General features: G+C 40.5%; 1 protein-coding gene and 1 pseudogene across 1 annotated transcript in view, besides 2 other annotated features; both read right to left on the reverse strand.

The window, feature by feature from the left end:
• LOC729496 (coiled-coil domain containing 59 pseudogene) lies at positions 5,279-6,323 on the reverse strand (annotated as a pseudogene).
• Positions 10,723-11,223: an enhancer, noted in NCBI's record as "H3K4me1 hESC enhancer chr6:149817836-149818336 (GRCh37/hg19 assembly coordinates)". NCBI's record gives its function as "activates a minimal SCP1, AML or CMV promoter by ChIP-STARR-seq in naive H9 embryonic stem cells {active_cell/tissue: H9 hESC(naive)}" and the evidence as "EXISTENCE:reporter gene assay evidence [ECO:0000049][PMID:30033119]".
• Positions 10,792-11,011: an enhancer, noted in NCBI's record as "active region_25261". NCBI's record gives its function as "activates an Ori minimal core promoter by ATAC-STARR-seq in GM12878 lymphoblastoid cells {active_cell/tissue: GM12878}" and the evidence as "EXISTENCE:reporter gene assay evidence [ECO:0000049][PMID:35858748]".
• Positions 18,518-27,987, reverse strand: part of PPIL4 (peptidylprolyl isomerase like 4) — a 41,549-nt gene continuing 32,079 nt past the window's right edge. The window contains exons 12-13 of the mRNA NM_139126.4: positions 26,178-26,325; positions 18,518-19,727 (exon numbers count right to left, since the gene is read on the reverse strand). Coding sequence (NP_624311.1) covers positions 19,476-19,727; positions 26,178-26,325 — 400 coding nt within the window. The 3' untranslated portion in view covers positions 18,518-19,475. The remainder of the gene's footprint in view (positions 19,728-26,177; positions 26,326-27,987) is intronic.

The raw sequence follows: 27,987 nt of genomic DNA on the forward strand, positions 1-27,987 counted from the left end.
AAAATGTGAAGCAGTGTAGATGATTAAAACACAGAGAATGGAATAATTAAAATAAAAAATTAGGCCAGGTGCAGTGTCTCACGCCTGTAATCCCAGCACTCTGGGAGGCCAAGGCGAGAGGATTGCTTGAGCCCAGGAGTTCAAGACTAGCCTGGGCAACATGGCCAAATCCCAGCTCTACAAAAAATATAAAAATTAGCCAGGCATAGTGGCACATACCTGTGGTCCCAGCCACTCTGGAGGCTGAGGTGGATTGCTTGAGCCTGGGAGGTTGAGGCTGCAGTGAGCTATGATTGCACCACTGCACTCTAGCCTGGGTGACAGAGTGAGATCCTGTCTCAAAAACAAATAAATAAATTTTTTTGAAAGTTCAATCAGAAATCCTTACAAGAAAAAAAGAACATCATACCAGAAAGCTAGATTAGAGTAGTCACTGCATTAGAACACTAATTCTAGCTTTGAAATTTTCTGGTACAATGGATTTTCAAGTAACAGCTCCCATTTTTTTCTTTTGCTGTTGTTGTTTGTTTGAGATGGAGTCTCGCTCTGTCGCCCAGGCTGGAGTGCAGTGGTGTGATCTCAGCTCACTGCAACCTCCGCCTCCTGGGTTCAAGCGATTCTCTTGTCTCAGATTACAGGTGCGCACCACCACACACGGCTAATTTTTGTATTTTTAGTAGAGATGGGTTTTGAACATGTTGGCCAGGCTGGTCTCGAACTCCTGACCTCGTGATCTGCCCACCTCGGCTTCCCAAAGTGCTGGGATTACAGGCGTGAGCCACCGCACCCGGCCGACAACTCCTATTTGTTTAGCACCAATGATATATATAGTAGTTTACATCAAAGTGCCCTAATCCCCACAAAAGCTCGATGGCATTGGAATAATTATTCCCATTTCCAGATGAGGTTATTGGGGTTGAGAAAGGGCAGCCAACCTGCCCACGTTCACTCATTAAGTGGCTGAGTGAAGATGGAAGCCCAGGGCCATCAGGCTCAAAAACGTGCCTTACACAAACACACATTGCCTCCAAGCTCCCAAAACCATAAAAAAAGTTGCAGAGTTTCCAAGAGAAATAAACACATTCCTGATGTTAAATTTTAGGAGAGATTGGCCAGGTGCGGTGGCTCACGTCTGTAACCCCAGCACTTTGAGAGGCCAAAGCAGGCGAATCACCTGAGGTCAGGAGTTCGAGACCAGCCTAGCCAACATGGTCAACATGGAGAAACCCCGTCTGTACTAAAAATACAAAAATTAGCCGGGCATGGTGGTGGGTGCCTGTAATCCTAGCTACTTGGGAGGCTGAGGCAAGAGAATCATTTGAACCCGGGAGGTGGCAGTTGCAGTGAGCCAAGATCTAACCGTTGCACTCCAGCCTGGGCAACAACAGCAAAAATCCATCTAAAAAAAAAAATTAGGAGAGATCTAAATCCTTACATTGAGTAAGAAATCGTCAATATCTTCAGCTCAAGTCCTGTAGAAGATGCCATGTTGGTCTTCAAATGCCCATTCTTCACCACACGCCCCAGTAAAAGCTGAGAGTATGACATCATACCTCAACTCAAGGGAAGGTGTTTCTATGGGGAAATGAGCTACCGCTGTCCAAGAGCCTTCTTCTCTAATCATCTAACCAAATAAAGCAACAGAACTCAGAGACACATAGTGCAATGGCTTCCTTGGATGATCTCTTTCAAACACTAGATGACTGAGCCACATTTTTTGCAGGTATAAGATAGCAACCAATCAAAGAAGAAACTCTCTGAGGATATTGCCAAGTGCGACCTGGCTGTGCATGTAAGAAAAGATGAGTCTGGGCAATGAAGTTTAGGAATCCCGATGTGTACTCAGCCCCAGGTGAGCAGCATGTCCGCACAGGATAGGGGCCACAGTGGGCAGCACCAACTGCTTCTCAAAAGAGATTCCGGAATCGGCTCAACGCAGACAAGCAAGCATTTGGTGGAGGCCCCCAAAATTCTGCCTTAAATTTTGGAGACATTATTTAGGCCAGAAAAATGGTTATTTGATTTAAGAAAAGAGCCACGCTACAGTCTTCTTACAGTATCTGATTTAGAGAAACCTCATCTTGAATCCTCCACAGCTAAAATGATTTTGCTGCCATGACTCTGACAAGCTGGAAGAATGAAATCGTTGTTGAGGCTATTTATTGCACACTTGAGCAAAAAGTAAGGCCTTCCAGGGGTTACAACAAGTTTAGCTACAGCATCACTGACCCAAAACTAGGCTCTGCCTCTGAGAGATGTAAGAGAAGGCGATGGCGGCCGGGTGCGGTGGCTCACTTTGGAAGGCTGAGGCAGGTGGATCACGAGGTCAGGAGTTCAAGACCAGCCTGATCAACATAGTGAAACCCCGTCTCTACTAAAAATACAACAATTAGCCAGGCATGGTGGTGTGTGCCTGTAGTCCCAGCTACTCAGGAGGCTGAGGCAGGAGAATCACTTGAACCCGAGAGGCAGAGGTTGTAGTGAGCCAAGATTGTGCCACTGCACTCCAGCCTGGGCAACAGAGCGAGACTCCATCTCAAAAAAAAAAAAAAGAGAGAGAGAAGGCCACGGCTTTCCTCTTGCTGTGTCAGTGGGGCCAATGTCCACACATCTCTGGACACTATTAGAGCACTGAGAAGAGAGTAGGGCAGTGAGCCTCACACACTTTCTCCTTCTGCCCTGTTTAAAATTGGCATTGGATCTGCCCCAAAACTATTTCTGCCCATTCTGGCCCTTACGGTGAGACTGAGGTCTGTGCTTTCAGGAAGCAGTCCAGAGATGCTGAGACGGTGGATGGCAGACGTGTGGGTACGGACCATCACCACAGAGGAAGACACAGATGCCCAGAGAGATAGCATTTGTCCTGGAGACTGGAAGCCCATCCATGGGTCCAGGTGGGGACCCCCTGGCTTGCCTGCCCCCTTCTATCTACAGCATCAGTGAACACCATGAATATCATTGGTTGTGTAACCTGTTTTTCCAGTGAGCTAAAAGAGAGTATATATAGCTATTTGCAGTGGTGACATGGACACGCATGGGTTGGGCCCCACTAGAAACTGCTCAGCTGCTCTCCGATGACTCGTTCACCAGCAGCATGGGAGGGGTCCCCATTTCTCCATATCCTGCCAACATCTGAGATTGAGACAATCTCAGTGCTTTCTGCTAATCTGATGTGTGAGAAATGGTATATCATGGTTATTTTAACTCTCATTTCCTTGGTTACTAGTGAACTTAAGGATCTTTTTATATGTTTCTTGGCATTGCAGTTTTCATTTTTCACTCTTCCATTGCCCATTTTCCTATTCTGTAGACTTTTTTTCTTTTTATTTGTATTAATGTTTATATATTTATTTTGTTTGTTTGTCTTGAGATAGGGTCTTTGTTGCTCAGGCTGGAGTGTACGGGGATAATCATAGCTCACTGCAGCCTTGAACTCCTGGGCTCAAGCCGTCCTCCCAGCCAAGTAGCTGGGACTACAAGGGTGCACCACCACACCCAGCTAATGTTTTAAATTTTTGCAGAACCATCGTCTTGCCAAGGCTGTTCTCAAACTCCTGGGCTCAAGTGATCCCCCTGCCTCGGCCTCCCAAGGTGCTGGGATTACAGGCATGAGCCACAATGCCCACCCCAAGTTTTATTTTTTACATTCAGGTCTTTAATCATGACCTGGAATTTATTTTGATAAATGGTATGAGAAATAATCTAAGCTCTTTTTTATTGTTTCTTTTTTCTTTTCTTGCATATCTTGGTAGGGAAAGAATCTAAGCTTATAATGGCAGGCAGTTTGGTGTCATGAACTTGAAGCCAGAGTGCTCTGCTACTTATTAACTGTGTAACTTTGAGCAAATTATCTAACCTCTGTACTTCAGTTTCCTAATATGTAAAATGGGAATAAATAATCTTATCTACCTCATAAGGATACTGTGAGAATTACAGGAATTAGTGTCTATAAAGTACTTAGAAGAGTGCCTGGTGTATAGAGACCCATTTTTCTGGAAGCTATAGTTCTCTTACAAAAAGCCCCCAGGGAACTATGAGATGGCCTGTACTAACATGCTACCCATTGCTAGGAAGAGAGACTGAATGAAAAGACATGAGCACTATGGGACACAGGTAGAGGAACCTTGGGTTGAAGGCAAAGAATGAGTGACGATCGCATGTTAAAATGAAGCACCTACTCCTGGGCTAATGATGTGGGATTGTAAGTGGTCACATTTGAATGCCTGCAACATTCTATGTTTAGAAATGTGGCCTCTAAGGCTCAGCTCAGTATCTGTTCAACATCTTTGCTAACCTCTAGCCAAAGTGCTGGGTAGCTTTTCCTGAGCTCTGCAAACACCTTACACCCTATAGTGGGTTAAATCGTGCCCCCAAAAAGATACGTTCAAGTCCTAACCTCCAATATCTGTGAATGTGACTTTATTCGGAAATAGAGTCTTTGCAGATACAACTAAGTTAAGAAGTGTTCATACTGGATGAGAGTGAGCCCTAAATCCAATGAACCAATGATGGGTGTCTTTTTTTTTTTTTTTTAAGACGAAGTCTTGCTCTTTTCCCCCAGGCTGGAATGTGACGGCGCAATCTTGGCTCACTGCAACCTCCGCCTCCCGGGTTCAAGTGATTCGGTTCAAGTGATTCTCCTGCCTCAGCCTCCCGAGTAGCTGGGATTACAGGCACCTGCCACCAAGCCCAGCTAATTTTTTTTATTTTTAGTAGAGATGGGGTTTCTACACGTTGGCCAGGCTGGTCTCAATCTCCTGACCTCAGGTGATCCACCTGCCTTGGCCTCCCAAAGTTCTGGGATTACAGGGATGAGCCACTGTGCCCAGGCAGGGTGTCTTTTTAAAAGAAGGGACTGAGAAATTTGGAGAGAGAGACACAGAGGAGACGCAGGGAAGAAGGCAATGTGAAGACAGAGGCAGAGATGAGGATGATGCAGCTATAAGCCAGCGAATGCCATGAGAAGCTAGGAAGAGGCAAGGAAGGATTCTTCCCTAGAGGCTTCAGAGCGAGCATGGCTCTGATGACAGCTTGATTCAGACTTCCAGCCTGCAGAACTGTGAGATAATAGATTTTGTTTTGTTTTGTTTTGTTTGAAACAGAATCTCATTCTGCCACCCAGGCTGAAGTACAGTGGCACAATCAGTTCACTGTAACCTCAAACTCCTGAGCTCAAGCAATCCTCCTGCCTCAGCCTCCTGAGTAGCTAGGACTACACGCATGCACCACCGCACCTGGCTAATTTCTTAATTTTTGTAGACATGGGGTCTTCTTTTTTTTCTATTTTTAAAAAATTTTATTTCATATAAATCTCATATGGTACAAAAGTATTACATGCTTGGGCCTGTCTTGCACATAGGAGGTTCTTTCAGTTCTTCAGGCCAACCTTCCTTCAGAGGCAAATAAATAAGAAACATATGTAGAACATATTTAGAAAATTTTTTACTATAATGAAAAATGTGAACATCTTATATTTAGCATAGTTTAGCAATTCAGTTTATGTTAATAAATTTAGTTCACTGCTGGAAGGCACTTGTCACAGAAGAACCTAATAGGCAGCAGGTGTTTTAACCTGTAGGAACAAAATGTTTAACTTTTTTCTTGTATTTTTTGAAGAAGGTACTCTATTTGTACATTCAAGTTTGGTTGGCCCTTTTTAGTCTCTTGGTTCAATATTTTAAACACTTCCATTTTCTTCTTTTTGTAGTGCCTTTGGGCTTCTCTCTCCTGTTTTCTCCTCTCGAATTCTTGTTTCTTAGCAGCACGTTTAGCTTGTACCTGTTCATATTCTTCTTGTGCTTTTTGATTTGATGTTTTCTTTTTATTTTTCTTTGGAATTGTAAAGGAGTTTACTGTTTTACTACATTGTTCTTCTGGCTGAGGCTGGTCAAAGCTACACTGATCTTCAAATAAAGCCTGGTCAATGCTACACTGTTCTTCAAGCAAAGGCTGGTGAACTTGTTCTGACAAAGGATGGTCAACTTTTTTTGGTTGCTTCCTAAGTCTTTCCTCTATCTGAAAATAGAGATGTTTCAGATTATCTGGGTATCGATCTGTGAATTGAGATTCCAGTGACGTTTGGGCCTTCTTTTCCTTCCGTAGCAATTTCTTTTAACTTTGCTGTATTCTCAGTTTTCTTCGAAAAGCAAAGCCTTGTCCCTTGCGAACGCTCCCCACGAAGGCTTGCGGGTGGTTAGGCCGCCATGTCTTCTGTTTCACATTCTTATTCCTGTACCCGAACGTGGAAACCCCTTCACCACGCACCTCAAAACCACCAGGCCGCCACTTCGCCGCCCGCCTCACCGGCACCATTGCAGCCAACTAACTGCGTCATCGACATGGGGTTTTCTTTTCTTTTTTTTTTTTTTTTTTGAGACGGAGTCTCGCTGTCGCCCAGGCTGGAGTGCAGTGGCACGATCTCGGCTCACTGCAAGCTCCGCCTCCCGGGTTCACGCCATTCTCCTGCCTCAGCCTCCCGAGTAGCTGGGACTACAGGCGCCCGCCACCACGCCCGGCTAAGTTTTTGTATTTTTAGTAGAGGCGGGGTTTCACCGTGTTAGCCAGGATGGTCTCGATCTCCTGACCTCGTGATCAGCCCGCCTCGGCCTCCCAAAGTGCTGGGACTACAAGCGTGAGCCACCGCGCCCGGCCGACATGGGGTTTTCTTATGTTACTCAGGCTGGTCTCGAAGGCCTGGCCTCAAGCAATCCTCCCACCTTGGTCTCCCAAAGTGCTGGGATTATAGGTGTAAGCCACGATGTCCAACCTTGTTTTAAGTCACCCTGCTTATGGTAGTTTGTTGTGACGGTCCTAGGAAACTAATACACCCTTCAAGCCCACAAACACTTTCCCTCAGAGCTCTTAGTTGTGATAACCATTTACTCACAGCTAAGCACATTCTCGCTGTCTAATGAGAAGACTGTGAAAGAGCTATGGAGTGAAGCCTTGAGCCTGGAGGATGGGTTGGCAGGCCATGGGGCAGCTGTCTGCATGTGATGCAGTGTTGCCTGTGCCTGCCTGTGCTGGGGTTGTGCAGTGAGAAGGACATCTAGGACAGACCTAAAAATTAAGCATGTATCATGGTCATGCCTGTCGTGTTATTTCCTGTAAACATATGCCAGGGGAAAAGACCATGAGTGTGTGTTTTTTGTGCGTTCTTAGAAAGTGAGTAGTAGAAAATGATCAATACAACAATGAAACATCACTTATCATGAAGTTAAAAGTGTGCACTGCCACCTGCTGAGATTGCAGTGCTTTCGAGGCTACTTTCTTGCTCTATGTGAGGCACTCTCTCCTGTGCCATGAATCCAACAAAGAGCCTGTGCCCAAGATGCTTCCAGGTCAGCCCTCAGCTACACATCCCATGAACGCAGCACAGGCCACGGTCGACCATGTGGGCTCCATTCTGATCCTGCTTACACCCTATCAGGTTTACTAAAACCACATCCATCCCTGGTCATGCTGAAGATACTGGTATTATTTCTGTGATAACAAATGAGTGATTATGTAACAAAGACTGTATGACTTTAACGTTGTTGTCGTTGTGCCTGTTCTACGTTCTAGCACTGCACCAACTTGGATATCAAATGCAGAAGAGATATCAAAGTCCTCAGCGTCTGCATCATCTCCTCTGGGAAGCCTGCTTGATATACGTCTGCATTTGGGGTGATGTGTGGAATCGATATTGAATGAAATCGTGTTCAATGCCATGTGAGGACTGTGGTGCCAACCCATGGTAAAGGTCCTACATGCAACGCCCAGAGTAACTTTTCTCAGCTATCCCAGTGCCACTTTCTTCCTTATTTTCTGGGGCCTGGCGAAGCAAATCCAAGCTTCTCAGTTTTGCATTTGGGACTCTCCCTTTCCCAATTTCCTCTTCCCTCCTGACACTCATTGCCTTCCCAGCCTCGGCAGTAGTCAGACACCGCCCTGCTCTCCCTCTGCACCTGGCTCGTTACCACCTTCATATGCCTTTGTTCCTGACTCAGGTTTCCCCAGCTCTCTCCACCAAACCAAGCAAACAAAACTTTTCTCTTTTTCAGGAGCCAGAGGTCACTGGTCTTGTTGTAGATTCATAGCAACAAAGAAGCATTACCTAACTTCTCTTTCTACACAAACTCTCTTGCTAGAATGATACTGTATTTGCAACCTTTATGTGTGTCCAGCTTCCTAGTACTCTACTCATTTAAGTAAATAACAGCAATACAACTTTTTTTTTTTTTTGAGACTGAGTCTCGCTCTGTTGCCCAGGCTGGAGTGCAATGACGTGATCTCAGCTCCCTGCAGCCTCCGCCTCCTGGGTTCAAGTGATTCTCCTGCCTCAGCCTCCCAAACAGCTGGGATTGCAGGTGTGCATCACCACACCTGGCTAATTTTTGTAGTAGAGACAGGGTTTCACCATGTTGGCCAGGCTCATCTCAAACCTCTGACCTCAAGTGATCCACTTGAGGTGGATCAGTGCCTCAGCCTCCCAGAGTGCTGAGATTACAAGCATGAGCCACCGTGCCCAGCCAATACAACTTTTTAATTGCCCATAAAAACATCACTCAAAAACCCTGCTCATCTGCCCATTCAATGAACAAAGAATAGCAGAGGAGGCGAAAACATAAAATTGTTAACTCTTGACAGTGCCCCTAGCAAAATTAAGCCTAACTAGTAGTCGAATGTGGGTAAAATAAGGTAAGAATATAGATTTTCCCATTAGCAGAAGAGTAATTAAAATGACTTGCTTTAAAAAGAGTTCTGGGCTGGGTGTGGTGGCTCATGCCTATAATCCCAGCACTTTGGGAGGCTGAGGCTCTTAGATCACTTGAGGTCAGGTGTTCAAGACCAGCCTGGCTAACATGGTGAAACCCTGTCTCTACTAAAAATAACAAAAATTAGCAGGGCATGATGGCAGGTGCCTGTAATTCAAGCTACTTGGGAGGCTGAGGCAGGAGAATCACTTGAACCTGGGAGGCGGAGGTTGTGGTAAGCCAAGATCGTACCATTGCACTCCAGCCTGGGTGACAAGAGCAAGACCCCGTCTTGAAAAAAAAAAAAAAAGAGTTTTGAAAATCAAGGGGATCTCCACAATCTGTCATTTAATAACAGGAAGCCCAGGGTTCTCTCAAATTTCCCATCAAAACATGGTTTCATAGCAACAGCCACTGAAAGGTAAGGTTCCTGTGATTTCGATTTTACTAGCTATTATGCATTCTTTGTGACTCAGTCTAGATGGGGTAAGAAATGTCAAACTTAAGATTAAATGTTTTTATGATGAGTAGAAAACCAAGATGAAATATGTTTTTCAGTAACTAAAAAGCAACTAATTTATTAAAAGACACTTGTAAAAGTATGATTGCTGAGTGTATTTAAAGTTTCTTTTATTTAGCCTTTAATAGTTCTGATCAAAATCTTTGAAAATTCAACTGGTAAGAAAGATTAAGCTGAAACCTTACAGTGAAGTTATAATAACTGAGAAATGTTAGGCTCCAAATAGTTTTGGTGTTTTGTTTTGTTTTGTTTCATTTTTTGTTTTTGAGATGCAGTTCCACTCGTCACCCAGGCTGGAGTGCAATGGCACGATCTCGGCTCACTGCAACCTCCGCCTCCCAGGTTCAAGCAATTCTCCTGCCTCAGCCACCTGAGTAGCTGGGATTACAGGCACCTGCCACCACACCCAGCTAATTTTTGTGTTTTTAGTAGGGACAGGGGTTCACGATGTTGGCCAGGTTGGTTTCGAATTCCTGACCTCAGGTGATCCGCCTGCCTCAGCCTCCCAAAGTGCTGGGATCACAGGTGAGCCACCACACCCAGCCCCAAACAGCTTTTTAACTTAAAAAATATCTGACTACCAACAGCTCACTCAATCTTTTTTCCGGGGGAGGGGTTGCGGGGACAGGTTAGCAAAAGCCAGTAGAATATATAAATGGAGACTGGTTTTAAGAGTTCACCTAAAACCTAGAGAAGCAAAAGAGAAGAAATAGGAAACATGGCCACTTTACCGTAGATTAGTAGTAGTATCATGAAGCCAAGACTGCGCTGCATCTAATCAAGGATACGTGATGAACACTACGTTTCTGTACACACATCTTTGTTAAAACCAGTTTCTCATACCTAATTGCAGCATTTGCAATTAAGGAGAGTTTTGCCTTGCAATGATAGGTTCAAACATTTTTACTACTTTGGTTTTTCCCACTGGATCTACTGAATCAAGCTTCGGGAGTGAGGAGGTTATTTCCTCTCACTGCTCCATCACCTGCAACCAACATTTCTCCCTTGTGCATTCATTCTTTCAGACTACATTTTAGAATCTTCTGTATGAACAGTATGTATTTTTCTATATTCAGAGTGATAGTTTCTTATGTATTTAAAATGTTTTCTATTCATGGCTAAGAATTATGTACAATAGCAGGGAGACAACTGCTCTTAGCTGTATGGTGAACTAGATATTCTGAATTGTAACCGCCCCCTCCCACCTCCTCCATACAACATCCACATGCTGGATAAATTACAGCAATCATACTTTATTTATTTAGAGATGGCGTTTCACTCTTGTTGCCCAGGCTGAAGTGCAATGGTGTGATCTCAGCTCACTGCAACCTCCGCCTCCCGGGTTCAAGGAATTCTTCTGCCTCAGCGTCCCGAGTAGCTGAGATTGCAGGCATGCACCACCACGCCCAGCTAATTTTTTGTATTTTTAGTAGAGACAGGGTTTCACCATATTGGCCAGACTGGTCTTGAACTCCTGATCTCAGGTGACCCGCCCATCTCGGCCTCCCAGAGTGCTGGGATTACAGGCGTGAGCCACTGCACTCAGCCAGCAATCATACTTTTACATGCACTGATGAGACTGCAAGACAGGGAAATTCCTCATGACTCACAAATATATTAACAAAATGGTAAACAGGCCACTAGCCAGGATGCCCTTGCCTGCACAGCTGGGGACTAAGGACTTCAGGTCACAGTGATGAGGGATATTTATAAAGACAAGGCTTTGGACCTAAAAGAGAACTGGGAAGCTGAGCCTAAGATCTTCACATGAAGCCAGGAGACTATAATAGAAGAGCTCACCTAAAACAAGTTCGTCAGAGAAAGACTGGGCTAGGAAAAAAACCACTAAGGCTGGGCACGGTGGCTCACGGCTGTAATTCCAGCACTGTGGGAGGCCGAGGCGGGCGGATCACAAGGTCAGGAGTTCGAGACCAGCCTGGCCAATATGGTGAAACCCCATCTCTACTAAAAACACAAAAATTAGCCAGGCGTGGTGGCAGGCACCTGTAGTCCCAGCTACTCAGGAGGCTGAGGCAGGAGAATCGCTTGAACCCGGGAGGTGGAGGCGGAGGTTGCAATGAGCTGAGATCGCACCACTGCACTCCAGCCTGGGTGACAGAGCAAGACTCCATCTCAAAAAAACAAAAAACAAAAAAACAACACCTGCGTTTTACCCAGTTCTGCAATGATGGGGGTATAGATGGGAGATCTTAATGCTAGATATGTTTTCCCTGATACTTTGTCAACTTTCATCAAGGTCTAGGGTTCAAAAATACATTATGCTTGCACATGGAAATTCCAAGCCACAAATGAAAGTGGCCCCAAGTGATTGCATCACCTGGAGTCTGAAAGGTAAATATGCATCCTCTCTGGAGAAAAGCATCTTCATTTTAGGTACCTTAGGAGTCCCAAAGTATGTCCTCCCAATTTAAGGGGAAAAAAATCTGAAACACACAAGGAAATAAGCCAGTACGCACAAGGGTCAGCAGGAAAACTTTTTTAATTCTTAAGAAATTAAGATACTGGAATTATCAGAAACAATATAATTATGTAAATAAAACAGAGTGGAAATAAATGAGCAAAGAACAACAGAAAATCAAAAATAACCAGGAAAATTCAAGAAAGAATCAAACAGAACTCCAAAAACAAAAAATTACTGAAATTAAAAATTCAGTGGATGGGTTAAATAAGAGACTGGGCTTATGTGAAAAAGAGTGGGTGACCTGGAATATAGACCTGAAACAATTATTCAGAATAAACTATCTGGATAATATGAGTTAAGATACAAAGAACAAGAGGAGAAAGCCTTACATAAAACTGACTAAGATTACAAAAGGAAATAATAGATAGAATGTGGAGAGAGACTATTTGAAGAAAAAATGGCAGAGAAGTTTCCAGAATAATAAAAAACATTAAGCCATCAGACACAGGATATAACAAGAAAGATAAAGGAAATCCCTATCTAGACACATTATAGTGGAATATTCTAGAATACCGAAGACAAAGGTAAACCTTAAAAGCAGCCAGAGACCTTTTTCAACAAATAGTCCCAGTACAAGTGGATGTTCATAAGTCAAAAAAAAAAAAAAAAAAATCTCAAAATGGATCACAGACTTAAATGTAAAACTAGAGAATTTTTTTAAAAAAATTAAAAGTATGAGAAAAATTTCGGAAGCTAGTGCTCGGCAGAGTTCTTACTTTTGACACCAAAAGCACAATCCATAAAAGGAAAAACTGATAAACTGCAGAAAAATTAAAATCTTGTACTCTACAAAACTCTATTAAAAGACAGGCCATACATTGGAGGCTAGGCATGGTGACTCATACCTGTAATCCCAGCATTTTGGGAGGCCAAAGCGGGAGAACTGCTTGAGACCAGGAGTTTGAGACCAGCCTGGGCAACATAGGGACCTCGTTTCCACTAATAATAAAAAAAAAAAATTAGCTGGCTGTGGTGGCAGGCACCTGTAGTCCCAGCTACTAAGAGGCTGAGGTGGGAGGATTGCTTGAGCCCTGGAGGTTGAGGCTGCAGTGAACTGTGATCTCACCACTGTACTCCAGCCTGAGTGACAGAGCGAGACTGTCTTAAAAAAGAAAAAAAAAGAAAGACAAGCTATATATTGGGAGGAAACAGCTGCAAGCAACATATCTGACAAAGAACTAGTATGTAGAATACATAAAGAACTCTCAAAACTCAAAAATAAAAAAAAACCTAAAAATCCAATTAGATATAAAGTAACATTTCACCTAACAGGATATGCAGATGGCAAAATGAGTACATGAAAAGATACTCAACAACATTACCAATTAAAGAAATAAAAATTAAAACCAGAGTAAGTTATATATCTATCACTATATACCTACCAGAATGCCTAAAATAAAACACAGAGACACAACTAAATGTTGTTGAGAATGCGGATGAAGTGGATCGCCCATATGTTCTTGGTGGGAATGTAAAGCAGTCTGACTCACCCAGGAAAACAGTTCAGCAGTTTCTTTAAATATGCAATTATCATATGACCTAACAACTGCACTACTGGGCAGTTATCCAGAAGAAATGAAGACTGTGTTCACAAAGAAACTAACAGCAGCTTTACTCATTACGGTCCCAAACTGTAAACAACCCAGATGTCCTTCAATGGGTGAATGGTTAAACAAACTACAGTATATTCATACCATGAAATACTACTCAACAATAAAAGTGAACTATTGGCCAGGTACAGTGGCTCACACCTGTAATCCTAGCACTTTGGGAGGCTGAGGCGGGTGGATCACCTGAGGTCAGGAGTTCGAGACCAGCCTGGCCAACATGGCGACACTCCGTCTCTACTAAAAATACAAAAATTAGCCAGGCATAGTGGTGTGCGCCTGTAATCCCAGCTACTAGGGAGACCGAGGCAGAAGAATTGCTTGAACCCAGGAGGCAGAGGCTGCAGTGAGCTGAGATGGCGCCACTGCACTCCAGCCTGGGCAACGAGACTCCATCCCAAATAAATAAATAAAACAAAATAAAATAAAAGTGAACTATTGATACAGCAACAAACTGGAAGAATCTCTGAAGAATAAGGCTGACTGGGGCAAAACAAACCCAATCCCAAAAAGGGATTTGGTTTATAATCCTGTAAGACACAATCTCGAACACCTTAATCCTGAATGGTGAAATCCCAAAAGATCAAAATGCCTAATCTAAAATCCATAATGTCTAAAATCCCAAAAATCACAATCAGAGGATACTGGCATCATGATAGGTAGAACTACAACTTTCTCATTGTCTTTATTTGGAAATTAAGTACGGTTTAAGGAGGTATGTATGGGTGCTGAGTTGATAAGAGGTGTTCTTTGGGACTTAATTTTAGGTGTCAAGTTGATTGGATTAAGGAACACCTAGAAACTTATTAGTGTTTTGAGTGTGTCTGTGCAAGTGTTTCCAGAGATTAGCATCTGAGTGAAGCCAGTGGAAGACACTGGTTGTTCTTAAAGTATTTCAAATGACTGCAGTTATAAAGCTGAGCATACACAATTACCAACCACAGGGCTATGCATTGATACATTTCCCTTTTTGACCTATTTCTTTATAAATACCACTCATCTGTTCATAACTGTCATACCCATGTGACTGTCATTAGTAGAGCTGAGAACTGCTTATGCTTGCAAACATACGTATGTTATTGTTGCCTATTTTATTGTGTAAAGTGGCCTGTGTTTGTATTTCTCAAATCCTCTTTTAAAAATGTGAATAATCAGCCAGGTGCAGTGGCTCATGCCTGTAATCCCAGCACTTTGGGAGGCTGAAGCAGGCAGATCACGAGGTCAGGAGATCGAGACCATCCTGGCTAACACAGTGAAACCCCGTCTCTACTAAAAATACAAAAAAAATTAGCTGGGCATGGTGGCGGGTGCCTGTAGTCCCAGCTACTCGGGAGGCTGAGGCAGGAGAATGGCGTGAACCCGGGAGGCAGAGCTTGCAGTGAGCCAAGATCGTGCCACTGCACTCCAGCCTGGGTGACAGAGCAAGACTCCATCTCAAAAAAAAAAAAAAAAAAAAAAAAGTTAATAACCTGAAGTCAGGGGTTTGAGACCAGCCTGGCCAACATGGTGAAACCCCATCTCTACTAAAAATACAAAAATTAGCCGGGCATGGTGGCGCACACCTGTAGTCCCAGCTACTTGGGAGGCTGAGGCAGGAGAATCACTCGAACCTGGGAGGTAGATGTTGCAGTGAGCTGAGACTGTGCCACTGCACTACAGCCTGGGCAACAGAGTAAGACTCCATCTCAAAACAAACAAACAAACAAAATGTAAATAAATATCTTTTAAAGGTTTTTAAAATTATTCTTTCCAGAATTACATATTTGGGATTATGATTATCAGGGTTTCAACCTTCATGATCATGGCATTTGGGATTATGTATTTCCGGATTATGAGTGGCTCCCCAAAAGGCTACATAATACAGAATTCCACTTATATAAAATCCTTGAAATGACATAATTATAGGAATGGAGAACATATCAGTGGTTGACAGAGGTGAAGGAGAAAACAGAAGTGGCAGGGAAGTAGACGTGGCTATAAAAGGACAGCAAGAGGGGTCCTTGTAGTGATGGAAATTTTCTGTATCTCCACTGTGTCCATGTCAGCATCTTGGTTGTGATACCATACTAGAATCTTACAAGATGGTATCACTGGAAGAAACTAGGCAAAGGGTACACAGGTTCTCTCTGTATTATTTCTTATGATTGCATGCCAATCTACAACTGATTTCAAAATTGAAAGTTTAACCACAGCAAAAAAGCAATCAGAAAGAAAAGTCACATTATATCCAAAAGAATGACATTTGGAATGACAAAAGATTTCTCCCCAGTAGTAACAAAAGTAAAAAGATAGTAGACTAATTCTTCAAAGTACTGGGGGAAAAAAAGACACACCTCAACTTAGAATTATGTACATATAAAATCAACTTTATAGAATGAATTGAAAATACTTTTGATAAATGTAAACTAAGAGTTTGCCATCAACAGATGTCACTAGAGGAACATCAAAAGATGTGCTTCAGAAAGAAGGAAAATTATCCTAGGTGAAAGGTCTGAGATGTGAGAATAATAATGAATAAACAAACACTTCTAACATATAAAGTAAATCTAAACCAACAATTATCTGTACAAAAACAGTAATAATCACAAGGTCTAATTTTTTTTCTAACAGATGGTGTCTCACTATGTTGCCCAGGCTGGAGTACAGAGGCTAGTCACAGGCACAATCGCAGTGCACTGCAGCCTCTAACTCCTGGCCTCAAGGGATCCTCCGGCCTCAGCCATTCAGGAGCCAGAACTACAGGTGTGCACCACTGAGTCCAGCTCAAGGTCTAATTTTAAGGTGAAAAATCACAAGCTATAACTAAAATACTGAATGATTTTAACACGAAAGTTGCAAGAGGGGTGACTTGGAGAGTTCCAAGACTCTCAATTAGAGAGGAAGATAAAGATATAACATTATACTTTTTAAGTACGGATGTAATATTCCAAGGAAATTCCCCCAAAACAAAGAAGAGGGGGCAGAGGGGTGAGGGTGGAATTAAAAAACATTTTTGATTCCAAAAGAAAAAAAAAGAGTGGAAGAAAAAAACATAAAAAGCACAAAATAAGGTGGTAAGGAATAAATGCAAATACATCAGTACACATAAAAATGCACTCAACTAACCAGTTAAAGTTCAGATTAGATTTAAAAATAATTGGCCGGGTGCAGTGGCTCATACCTGTAACCCCAGCACTTTGGGAGGCTGAGGTGGGCAGATCAGAAGGTCAGGAGTTCCAGACCAGCCTGGCCAATATGGTGAAAACCCTGTTACTAAAAAAAAGAAAAAAAAATTAGCCAGGCCTGGTGGCAAGCACCTGTAGTCCCAGCTACTCAGGAGGCTGAGGCAGTAGAATCGCTTGAACCCAGGAGGTGGAGGTTGCAGTAAGCTGAGATTGCGCCACTGCACTCCAGCCTGGGTGACAGAGTGAGACTCCGTCTCAAAATAGTAATAATAATCATCATCATCATCATCTAGCTATATGCTGTTTATGAGACACACTAAAACATAAGGACATTCATCAACAAAGCAGGATAGAAAAATCTAGCTAAACTATGCGCAATGCTATCAAAAAATAAAAACGTCAATGAAAACAAATTCCCAGAAAAATGTAATAAAAATGACTAACATTAAAGAAATAGAAAGGCTAATAATTCTATAATTTTTGAAACCTAATCAATAGTTAAGAAATTTTCTCACAAAAAAATGCAAAGTTCAGACAATTTTATAGGCAAGCTCTATCCAGCTTTTAAGGAACAGATTAATTTAAATGTTTTTCTTTTCTTCCAAGAGAACAGACAGAGGGAAGGAGAGAGAGACAGCACTCCTTAACTTATTCTTAGTATCCACAATCTATTAAGTATAAAAAGACAACAATCTACTACTATATAAATGGGCAAAAGACATGAAACAAGCTTTTCAGAGAGCAATAAGGAATGAATAATAAACATGGGAAAAGATGCTCAGCCTCATTAACATTTAGGAAATACAAAGTTAACTTCCACTCTAGTCAAAATGGAGTAGCAGAGGCACGATTTACCTTCTCCACCTTAAATTAAAACCTATATAAAATGTATACAAGGAAGTTTTTCAGATGTTAGACAAAAGCCAGTGCAGGACAGTGACTCCTGAGAGATGGAAAACAAAGAAAGCCCTATAATTGCGCAAGCTTCTACATGGGGTTTCTAAGCTGTGGCACTAAGGCTAGGGAAGGGAACCTCCCTGGGTAGAGAATTTAGGGGAGCCAAGGTAAGATTTGCAGGGCAGAATATTGGGTTTCCCTTAAGTCTTCAGCTAAACACCAAGCAGTGTATGCATGTGAGGTAAGGAACAGGAGATACAACTGGGAGCTCAATAGGGTTCAGAATATTTCATGTTCCCAACAGACAGAATGCAGAAACCGTGTAACCAGGAAGATTATTCAGAACGGTATTACCTTCGTAGTGGGTCAAATTAGCCCTAAACTAAAGGCTGTCCCAGTCCTGTCTTATTAAGCTTAAAAGCAAGCTATAAAATGATCGGATTGTTTCCAAGTAACTTTATGTCCCCAAACAGAGTTCAAGATACTTAAAAGAACTCCAGCACCCAATATTAAAAACAGAAATTACCAGGCATGTAATGAAGGAAGTTACAATCCAATATGGGCAGGGTGGGGGTTGGGGTAGGGTGGGAATCAATCAATAGAAACAGACCAGAAATGATGCAGATGACAGAATGGGCAAGCACACTGAAAGAGCTATTATCAATACACTCCAGATGTTGAAAAAAAAAAAAATAGAGGAAGGCATGAGCATGTGAAGGAGACACATGGGAGATAAAGACCCAGACAGAAATTCTAAAGACTAAAAATATGTCGGAGGTGAAAAATACCTGGATACGATTAAAAGGAAATTAGATACTTTAGACAGAAAGATTAATAAACAATGAGGACACAGCACTGGAAAGTACCCAACATGAAACACAGAGAGAAAAAGGCTTTTTAAAAAGCTGCACAGAATCAGCACACTGGGAGAAAATTCTGAGGGGCCTAACGTACATCCAAGTCATCAGAGCCCCAGGAGAAGCATGAGAGGAGCAGAGAGAAAACCATAACAGAAGAAAAAATGCCCCCCAATTTCCAAATTCTATGAAAACCATAAACCCACAGGTAAAATAGCTGCAGCAGCAGAAACGTGAAAAAAAAACTACAGCAAGCACATCATAATCAAACTTCTTACAACCAGTGACAGAAAACCTTAAAAGCAGCCAGGAAAAAAATGACATCTTACACATGGAAGAGCAGAGATAACAGTAATCTTGCTGGAAATCACAGGTAGATACCACTTAACATCCACTAGGTTGGCAAATTTTTAAGTCTGAACTTAAGTGTTGGAGATGCTATGAAACAAAGGTAACTCACAGTGCCAAGAGAGGTATAAACTAGTACAGTCACTTCAGAACACAAATTTGGCATTATTTTATCAATATATCAAGCAATATAACTGCTAGATACAATGTTCACAGCAGCATTGTTTCAACAGCAAAAACAAATAAACAAAACTCAAATGTCCATCAAGAATGAATAAGTTGTAGTATATTTATATAATACTATATAGCAATAAAAATGAAAGAAAGTCACAGAAGTAAACATTTTGCCATTTATATAAAATTCAGAAACATACAAAATTAACATTTCACTTACAGATACATACGTATGTTGTAAAACTATAATAGACAAATGACAAACACAAAATTCCAAATAATTATTTGAGAGGGAGAGGGCCTTAGGGAACTTCTAAAATGTCGACAACATCTGTATCTTAAGCTGGCTGATGAGTACACAGATATTTACATTTATTATCCCTTTATATATACGTTTATGTATTTTTGTAGTATGAAATACTTCATTAAAAAAAGAGTGAAAATGTAAGACTTCAAAAATGAAGACTACCATTTATGTATAACAATAAAATTAGTGTAAAAAAGTATACAAAGAAAATGTTCAATTCTTTATCTTTCCGTGCTCTATATAATCAGTATTAATCTAAAGACCATAATCCTAGTATGAAAAAAATAACAAGCTTTGACACAAAATCTAAGCATCTGCTTTCCTGGCACTCTTAAGTTAGACAAGAGTAAATATGTTAGCCTCTCAATTCTGCCTCTTCATCTTTCATCTATACTTAGATTTTTCTTTATCTTTGGACTTCTTTGGACTTCTGCTTCGGTCTCTCTTTTTACTCCTTTCTCTTTCATAAAGATCTGTTTGGTATTTTGATTTATGACTATTACTATAATGGCCATCCCTCTCTCGAGATCGGCTACGACTTCGGTTCTGAGTTCGGTCTCTCTTTTCACTCTTTTGTTTCTCCCAACAGCTTTCTTCTTCTTCATAGTGACCAAACCCCATTTCTCTATAGATATCCTGTCAAAGGAAGGGGGAATTACAAGTGAATCAGTAAAATAATCATTTTGTGGGCATTTTCAATTAATAAAACTTAGAAAAGTCTACCATTAGAAGGCTGTTATAACAGCTTAAATGTGAACACTACCACTAATGTCAAGAATCTTGTAAATTACAAAGCAATAAAATAATTCAGAAAAAGGTTTAACAACGTCATTGATTTGTATCTACTATTTTGGCTGAAACGAAGGATCAGCTTCAAAAATATGGAACTGAAATAGCTCAACTGAAATCAGAACATGTCTCTAGAGCAATCTGCAAAATCAAAAATTCTGATTATGTATAGTCTTATTCCCAGCTCCCCACCCTTCACTCCCCCAAAACGTGGTCCCATTATTGATCTGCAATGAAACTACTAAAATTCCCATAAGAATCCTATAAGAAGATATCATTGAAATAACTTAGCAGGAAGAGATCTTAGACAAGTCAGTAAGTCTTAAATAAGAAAATGGAGGCTGGATGCGGTGGCTCACGTCTGTAATCCCAGCACTTTGGGAGGTTGAGGTGGATGGATCACCTGAGGTCAGGAGTTCAAGACCAGCCTGACCAACATGGAGAAACTCTACTAAAAATACAAAATTAGCCAGGTGTGGGGACGCATGCCTGTAATCCCAGCTACTCGGGAGGCTGAGGCAGGAGAATTGCTTGAACCTGGGAGGCAGAGGTTGCGGTGAGCCAAGATTGCCCCACTGCACTCCAGCCTGGGCAACAAGAGCGAAACTCCATCTCGAAAAAAGAAAATGGATAATGTATACTTGGGTCTGAGCAATTAATTTTTAAAGTGTTTTATTTTATAACAGCTCCTCTCTAGATGTTCAAATACATCTTCCATGTTTAGAAAGACAGAAGTTAGAGAGGAGAATTTTTTTTGAGACAAGGTCTTGCTGTCTCCCAGGCAGGAATGCAGTGGCACGATCATGGCTCACTGTAGCTTCAACCTCCCAGGCTCAACCGATCCTTCCCACCTCAGTCTCCTAAGTAGCTGAGACCACAGGCATGTGCCATCACACCTGGCTAATTTTTGTATTTTTTTGTAGAGACGGGGTTTCCCCATGTTGCCCAGGGTGGTCTCAAACTCCTGGGTTCAAGTGATCCCCTCCCACCTCGGCCTCCCAAAGTACTGGGATTACAGGCATGAGCCACCTCACTCAGCTGATTAGGCTTATGTCAAAATTATTATATTTCTTTAAAATGAGTTTTTAAACACTGGTAGAATCCTTTGCCCCAAAGATAATAAAATTGCTACATTTAATTCTACTCTTAGACCACAGCCAATGCTCTTTCAAGAGATACTTTGTAAAATTTAACTTTCTTAAGACTGCCCAAAGGAAAGGAAAATTCTAAGGACTAAACTCCCAAGGGTCTCAACTCTATCACCAGATACCACTGTAGCAGACATAAATGTCAAGGCTTAAAATTCAGAGTGATGAATACCCATGGTTAAGGACTGGGTTTTAAGCAAATTATTAGTTATTCCATATACTGTCTAGATACTGTACACCTTGAGTTTGACAGTGTGTGAAAACAGATGTAACAGGATTGTTATAGTAATAATCACACTGTGTAATACAGTATTATAAACTGATTTGTGATTTTCCACACAATCCCAATAGTTCTTGTCATATTATAAGAGTCCCTGAGGTAGAAAAAATGAGTAGGCATTTTGGTTTAGCCTTTTGCCATCAATTTTCTAGTAAAATATGACATTCTGAGATAAAAGAATTTTTGTGCTTCCTATAACATATACAAAATAGAAATATTCATATACTATTATATCTGTACATCTTGTACTTATTTCTGTATTGGTTGAGACAAACTTTTAAAATGCCGAGACTGCTGGCTGATGTATAAATTTATAAAATCCTCAGTATGTTATTATACAAATGGGCACTTAAGTGCTTTGAGTATTTAAAATAGAAGAGATAAAAGATTATGTAGCACTTCATTCTTTTAAAAATTTGAGGAAGCTGAATATTTGAATTGGACTGAAACTTTAAAATCACTCCTACTCGGGAGTAGTTTTCAAAGCTACACAAGCTTTGAAGTCAGGTAGATCTGGGTTCAAATAGTCTTTGACATTTAGGAGATGTGTCAAACAAGTACTCTTAAGGTTAGAATAATTAGAGAAGGTTTCATGGAGAAGTTAGGATTTCAGATGAGCCTCAAAGGGTAAGTGAGCTTGGGTCTGAATGGGCTGCAAGAAGGCTAATGAAAGTAGTGTAAGTGAAAACTGAAAAGCAAGGAAAAATGAGCCCTGTATGTATGAAGGGGAAAAGTTAAAGTGGCTGAATGAAGCCATGTAAGAGGAGATCCTCCAAGTACATGCTAACACAGTGCTAAGAGCTTTAGGAGTGCAATATCCTCATTCTAGAAATAGGGAAACTGAGACTCAAGAGATCTGCACAGGTTGGAGATAATTTAACTTGACATCCAAAATTAAAAAGGGGGGAGTGGTACAGAATAATGGGGAAAAAATCCAACACCTGACTGAACCAAATAAATGTTAAAATTCTAGCTCTCCCACTATAAAGGCCTAAGGGCCTGTGGGATCAGTATCTTCATATCTAAAGTGAGATAAATGAATTAGATAAGGTCTAGGTCCTTTCCAGTATGAATTTTTAAAAGTTATATTATTTATACATTTAAAACATAAGACAAGATGATTAAACTACCATGTGGCAAAAAAAGAAAAGAAAAAACGAAGAACACAAAATGGCCAATTTAAAGCAATTAACCTAGCAAATGACTTGAAATAAGCAATCAAAAAAAGTCTAATCTAATTAAAAGCTATCCTTGCTCAAGTCTCTGGGACTAAATCAAAGATCTGGTTAAATCTTAGTCACCAAGATAACATTAAATCACTAAAATGACAGAAAAAGTACAGTCAAGAATACAAACACTATGAAAACCCCAGTGGAAAACTGACAACCAGCATGAATACTTCTCAGCAAGGCAACCCCCAGCTGAATACGCATTTCCTGTAACCCCAGTAAAACCCAAACCTCAACAACACAAAAACCATCTCTGGAATTAAGACATGAGGTGGAAAATTAAACAAACGTTTTCGAATTGATTAGTAAGGCTAGTTACTCAATAAAAAACAAAGAATTTGAAGAAATAAGTTAAAATACTCTTGGGAAACCAGACTCACTAAGCAAAACACCGACAAACAGGAAAATATGAACTATAGCTGAAATTTGTCTAGTACTGAAAATTCTCTTTAATGAATTTTAAAAAATAAAAAACAAAATAATAAAAAATCGGGGGGCCATTAAAATCTTAAATACTGATGCTGAGTTTTATTAGGAAGAAGAGAAAATTAATGTAGCTATATCATTAAATCAAAGTACAAAACTTTTTAAAATTTAATATACTTTAAGGGGAGAAGTTAGGAGATCATTATTCAGAATTTAATAATTTTATAGTTAATATTGCCTTAAAATTTCAACTTAAAATTGCCTTAAAATCTTTTTAAAAATACTAATAGCATTCCCCCAAAATCTTGATGCTTTTACTCCATGCAAAATGAGAAGGATATTTGCTACTGTAAGGTTTCAAGTAATCAAACAGCAGAATCAGAAAGACTCACACAAAAAAAACACAACCAGTCTGAAATTTTTTAGACCTCTGATTATCTCAAACACACCAATGTTTATTTATCTCAGGCTTAAATTCATGGACGGTTCCATGTACAAGTGCAGGATGAAAAGCTGGAGCTAAAAGCAGCACATGGAGGGGGAAAGAATTCAGAGTTTTTAGTGGAAAACATGCTAAACATTCACAGGAATGTGATACAGCCACCAGTAAAGAAGACTGATGCGACCTCAGACTAAAGTAATAGAGTACAGACATTTAAGAAGGAGGAGATGTGTTCCTATTAGATCACATTGGAATATTATACTATGGGACAAATTTTATTAAAATAACATTAGAGTTTAGGAAAGAAAACTGATGAGAATATACCCCAGGTAAGAAGACGAGCAAAAGTAGTTAGGAGTATGTTTCAAGTTAAGAGTAGTTAGTTTCAACTATGAAACTAAACTGTGGTTCCACTACTTACTAGCTGTGTAAAACTATGGGCAAGTAACAATTTTTGTTCTCACTTTGTTGTGTGAAAGGGGGATAAAAGAACCCACCTTACATTGTAAGGACCAAAAAATATTAACTACTACTACTTTTTTCTTTTATTTAAAATTTTTATAGAGACAGGGCCTCCTATGTTGCCCAGGCTGGTCTTGAACTCTGGGATCAAGCGATTCTCCTGCCTCAGCTTCCCAACATGCTGGGATTACAAGCATGAGCCACTGCACCTGGCCTACTACTACTTTTATTACCACCGATTCATGTGAGAAATATTTGCAGGAACCAACAAAAGTATGGCCTGAAAACGGGATGAGGCATGAATGATGGCAATCTTTAAACAGCTAAAGGGCTATAGAAAGAAGAAATTCTATCTCTGCTGGATTATAGCAAAGAGCTAACTACATATATCAAATATTTACTTGCTAAATTTTTTTAAATCAATAACCCATAAAACACATAAAATAGTTACCCACAGAGGGAAGAAGGAAAAGGGGAGGGAACAAGAATGGAAGCTAGGTTCTCTAAATGTACCATTTTGTAGATTTCACTTTGGAAACAGTTTTTAAAACTACAAAACAAAAAATTGTTAAAGCAACCCTTAAAACATTAAAAATAAATAAATAAAAATGAAACAGGGCCGGGCGCGGTGGCTCACGCCTATAATCCCAGCACTTTGGGAGGCTGAGGCAGGCAGATCACGAGGTCAGGAGTTCGAGACCAGCCTGGCCAACTTGGTGAAACTCCATCTCTAGTAAAAATACAAAAATCAGCCAGGCATGATGGCAGGTGCCTGTAATCCCACCTACTCGGGAGGCTGAGGCAGGAGAATCGCTTGAACCCAGGAGGCGGAGGTTGCAGTGAGCCGAGATTGCACCATTGCACTCCAGCCTGGGCAACAAGAGCAAAACTCCGTCTCAAAAAAAAGAAAGAAAAGAAACACTTTAACTGAAATATGAATCTAGTTAATGTCATAACCACAGAGAGAAACTATTCCAAGTAACTCTAAAACTAGTAATTTGCTTTAACAGTTAAAAAAAAAAAGTAGTAACAATAATAACCAGTGTAGAAAATGTTTGCACACGCATTTTTTTCACTGAATCTTAACAAAATGCCTGTGAAGTATTTCTCACTTTTCACAGAGGATGAAACTGTGGCTCAGAAAGTTAAACAACTTGTCAAGGTCACTTTGATGGCCAGCAGTATGTAAACCTAGCTCTCCTGACAGCAAATCCTTGACTCTGCCTATCATACTACATTTCTCTATTTCTGCATCTTTGGTTAACATTCTCACCATCTTAAATTCCCTCCCTTCTCACCTCAGCCCACTGAAATCCTTCTCATCCACCAGGGCCCAGCATAAATGTTTCTATGTGGTAAAACAAAAGCAAGGAGCTCTGATGTAAAAAAAAAAAAAAAATTTTTTTTGGAGACGTGGTCTGGCTCTGTCATCCAGGCTGGAGGGCAGTGGCATGATCTGGGCTCACTGCAGCCTCTACCTCCTGGGCTCAAGCGATCCTCTCAAGCTCCCAAGTAGCTGAGACCATAGGTGCACACCACCATGCCTGGCCAATTGTGTGTGTGTGTGTGTGTGTGTACTTTTTGTCAAGGTGTGTGTGTGTGTATTTTTTGTCGAGATGGGGGTTTCACCATGTTGCCCAGGCTGGTCTCCAACTCTTAAGCTCAAGCGATCTACCTGCCTCGGCCTCCCAAAGTGCTAGGATTACAGGCGTGAGCCACCGTACCCAGCCTGTAAATTGCTTTTTATTTAACTAAGAACCAAAGCACAGGCTGGAAATAATCACTTTTCTTCACAATAAATTTTCTTTGGGGAATTTTTATTATTTTTTTTAAATGTGCTGTTCAGGAGAGCTTTTAGCATGCTAAAGTTAATTACCAGTGCTGTTTTTCTTATATACAATACAGCAGGATATAAATGTTTTATAGGATGTAAAATCTCAAGAGCCCTTAAGTGCTATACATAACACTTGGTGATAAATTAAGCAGATAAATGACAAAATCTTTTTCAGCACAACCACACTTGTTTCTGATGGGAATAAAGGAGTATCCACAGGTACGGAAATCACTCTTGCTTCACAATGTGGAAGTATTTGATACATTAAGTTATGTCAAAAATGATCTTTTATCATTTGTGATAAATATTTTTGAAAATTAAAATCCCATACCCCAGTGCAACCATTCTGCTTCTTAGGAACAAACCCATCTCTGCTTAGAACTATCCCTTACCTCCTAAATTATATCACTAAGACATCATTTACAGAGGGATAAAATATTTATTTCTCCACATCTAAGTCTGGACATTAGAGGTACCTGATTAGTATTTTTGATTGGCATGTAGTCCTCATCTTCTTTCTCTTCAGAACAGTGATGGGTTTTCTTCTTGTGTTTTTTACTTGTGTGTGAGTGACTTGATTTTGAGTCTTCGGCCTGCTCATCTAATATAAGATCGTATTTTGTACTGCAGTAGTTAGTTAAGGATAAATGTGATAAATAATACTGGTAAGACATCAAAACTTAAGATCTGGTAAACAAAGGAGGTCATAAGGCTAAAAGTAACTAAAGCAAAAAGCATCTCAAAAGAATATAGTACATTTCTAAAACAAAACTAACATTTTCTTTCATTATATAGTCAGGAGAAATGGAAAGAATCCTAATCCTAAACAATCTTAAAATAAAGACTAGTAGGCAAAAAAATTAGGAGGAAAAAATAAACGTATTTGTCAATAATTTAAAAAATTTAAATTTAGAAAATGAGGGACATCTTTAACTAGAAAAAATTATTATAAATTCCAATGCCCAGAAAAGCTATATAAGATAACAGGTACATTTGTATGTCTCTTCTTTTAGTTCAATCAAGAGGAAATTCAGCAATGCATATCGAGTTATCATGTTTAAATTCTTCTTATTATTTTTTTTGAGACGGAGTCTTGCCCTGTTGCCCGAGCTGGAGTGCAGTGGCGCGATCTCAGCTCACTGCAACCTCCGCCTCTCAGGTTCAAGCAATTCTCCTGCCTCAGCCTCCCGAGTAGCTGGGACTACAGGCACATGCCACCACGCCTGACTAATTTTTTGTGTCTTTAGTAGAAACGGGGCTTCCCCATGTTGGCCAGGCTGGTCTCAAACACCTGACCTCGTGATCCACCCGCCTCGGCCTCCCAAAGTGCTGGGATTACAGGTGTGAGCCACCACACCTGCCCATCATGTTTAAATTCTAATAAGAATTTATGAATACAGTTAAATGAACAAAAATATACATAAAAGCCAGGCGTGGTGGCTCACACCTGTAATCCCAGCACTTTGGGAAGCCAAGGCGGGCGACTCACTCGAGGCCAGGAGTTCGAGACCAGCCTGGCCAATATGGTGAAACCCCATCTCTACTAAAAATACAAAAATTAGCCGGGCATGGTGGCGCAACCTATAACCCCAGCTACTCGGGAGGCTGAGGCAGGAAAATCATTTGAACCCAGGAGGTAGAGACTTTTGTGAGCCGAGGTTGCACTACTGCACTCCAGCCTGGGTGACAGAGCGGGGACTCAGTCTCAAAAAAAAAAAAAAAAAAAAAAAAAAAATATATATATATATATATATATATATACATATAAAAAATATGCATAATAGTATTACTTTTAGTAGCAAAGTAGGAACAACAAAATATCTAGTAATAAAGACATACTTAAATGCATTATAGTACTTCAACAAGATACAATATTATAAATGAAGTTATCAACAACGATAAATGCTACAGAAAAAACCCTAGAAAGGTGTTTATGAAAATTAACATGAAAAAAGCTTAAAGCAAAAACAACATATACCATACAACGATTATAACTTTACATAAGAGAAAGGTTTGAAAGAAACAAGGAGAAATAAAAAGTATCATGTGTCTAGGTGATGAAGCTACGAGTGAATCTTTTTAAATTTCATCTAAATGTGTTAAAAATGTTTTAATGTTTTAATTCAGAGATAAGTATTTTCTTAAATATACTATAATAGAATAAGAGAAAATATAAAAGAGTTACGATTTCTGCTGAAAATAATCTCAACCTCAAAGGTGGATTTTGAGGAAGACTGACATGGGCTGGAATGGTGGTTTTCCAGAGAAAGGTTATGAGGAAGCCCA

Source organism: Homo sapiens, chromosome 6 (assembly GCF_000001405.40).
Source record: "Homo sapiens chromosome 6, GRCh38.p14 Primary Assembly".
Taxonomy (NCBI): Eukaryota; Metazoa; Chordata; class Mammalia; order Primates; family Hominidae; genus Homo; species Homo sapiens.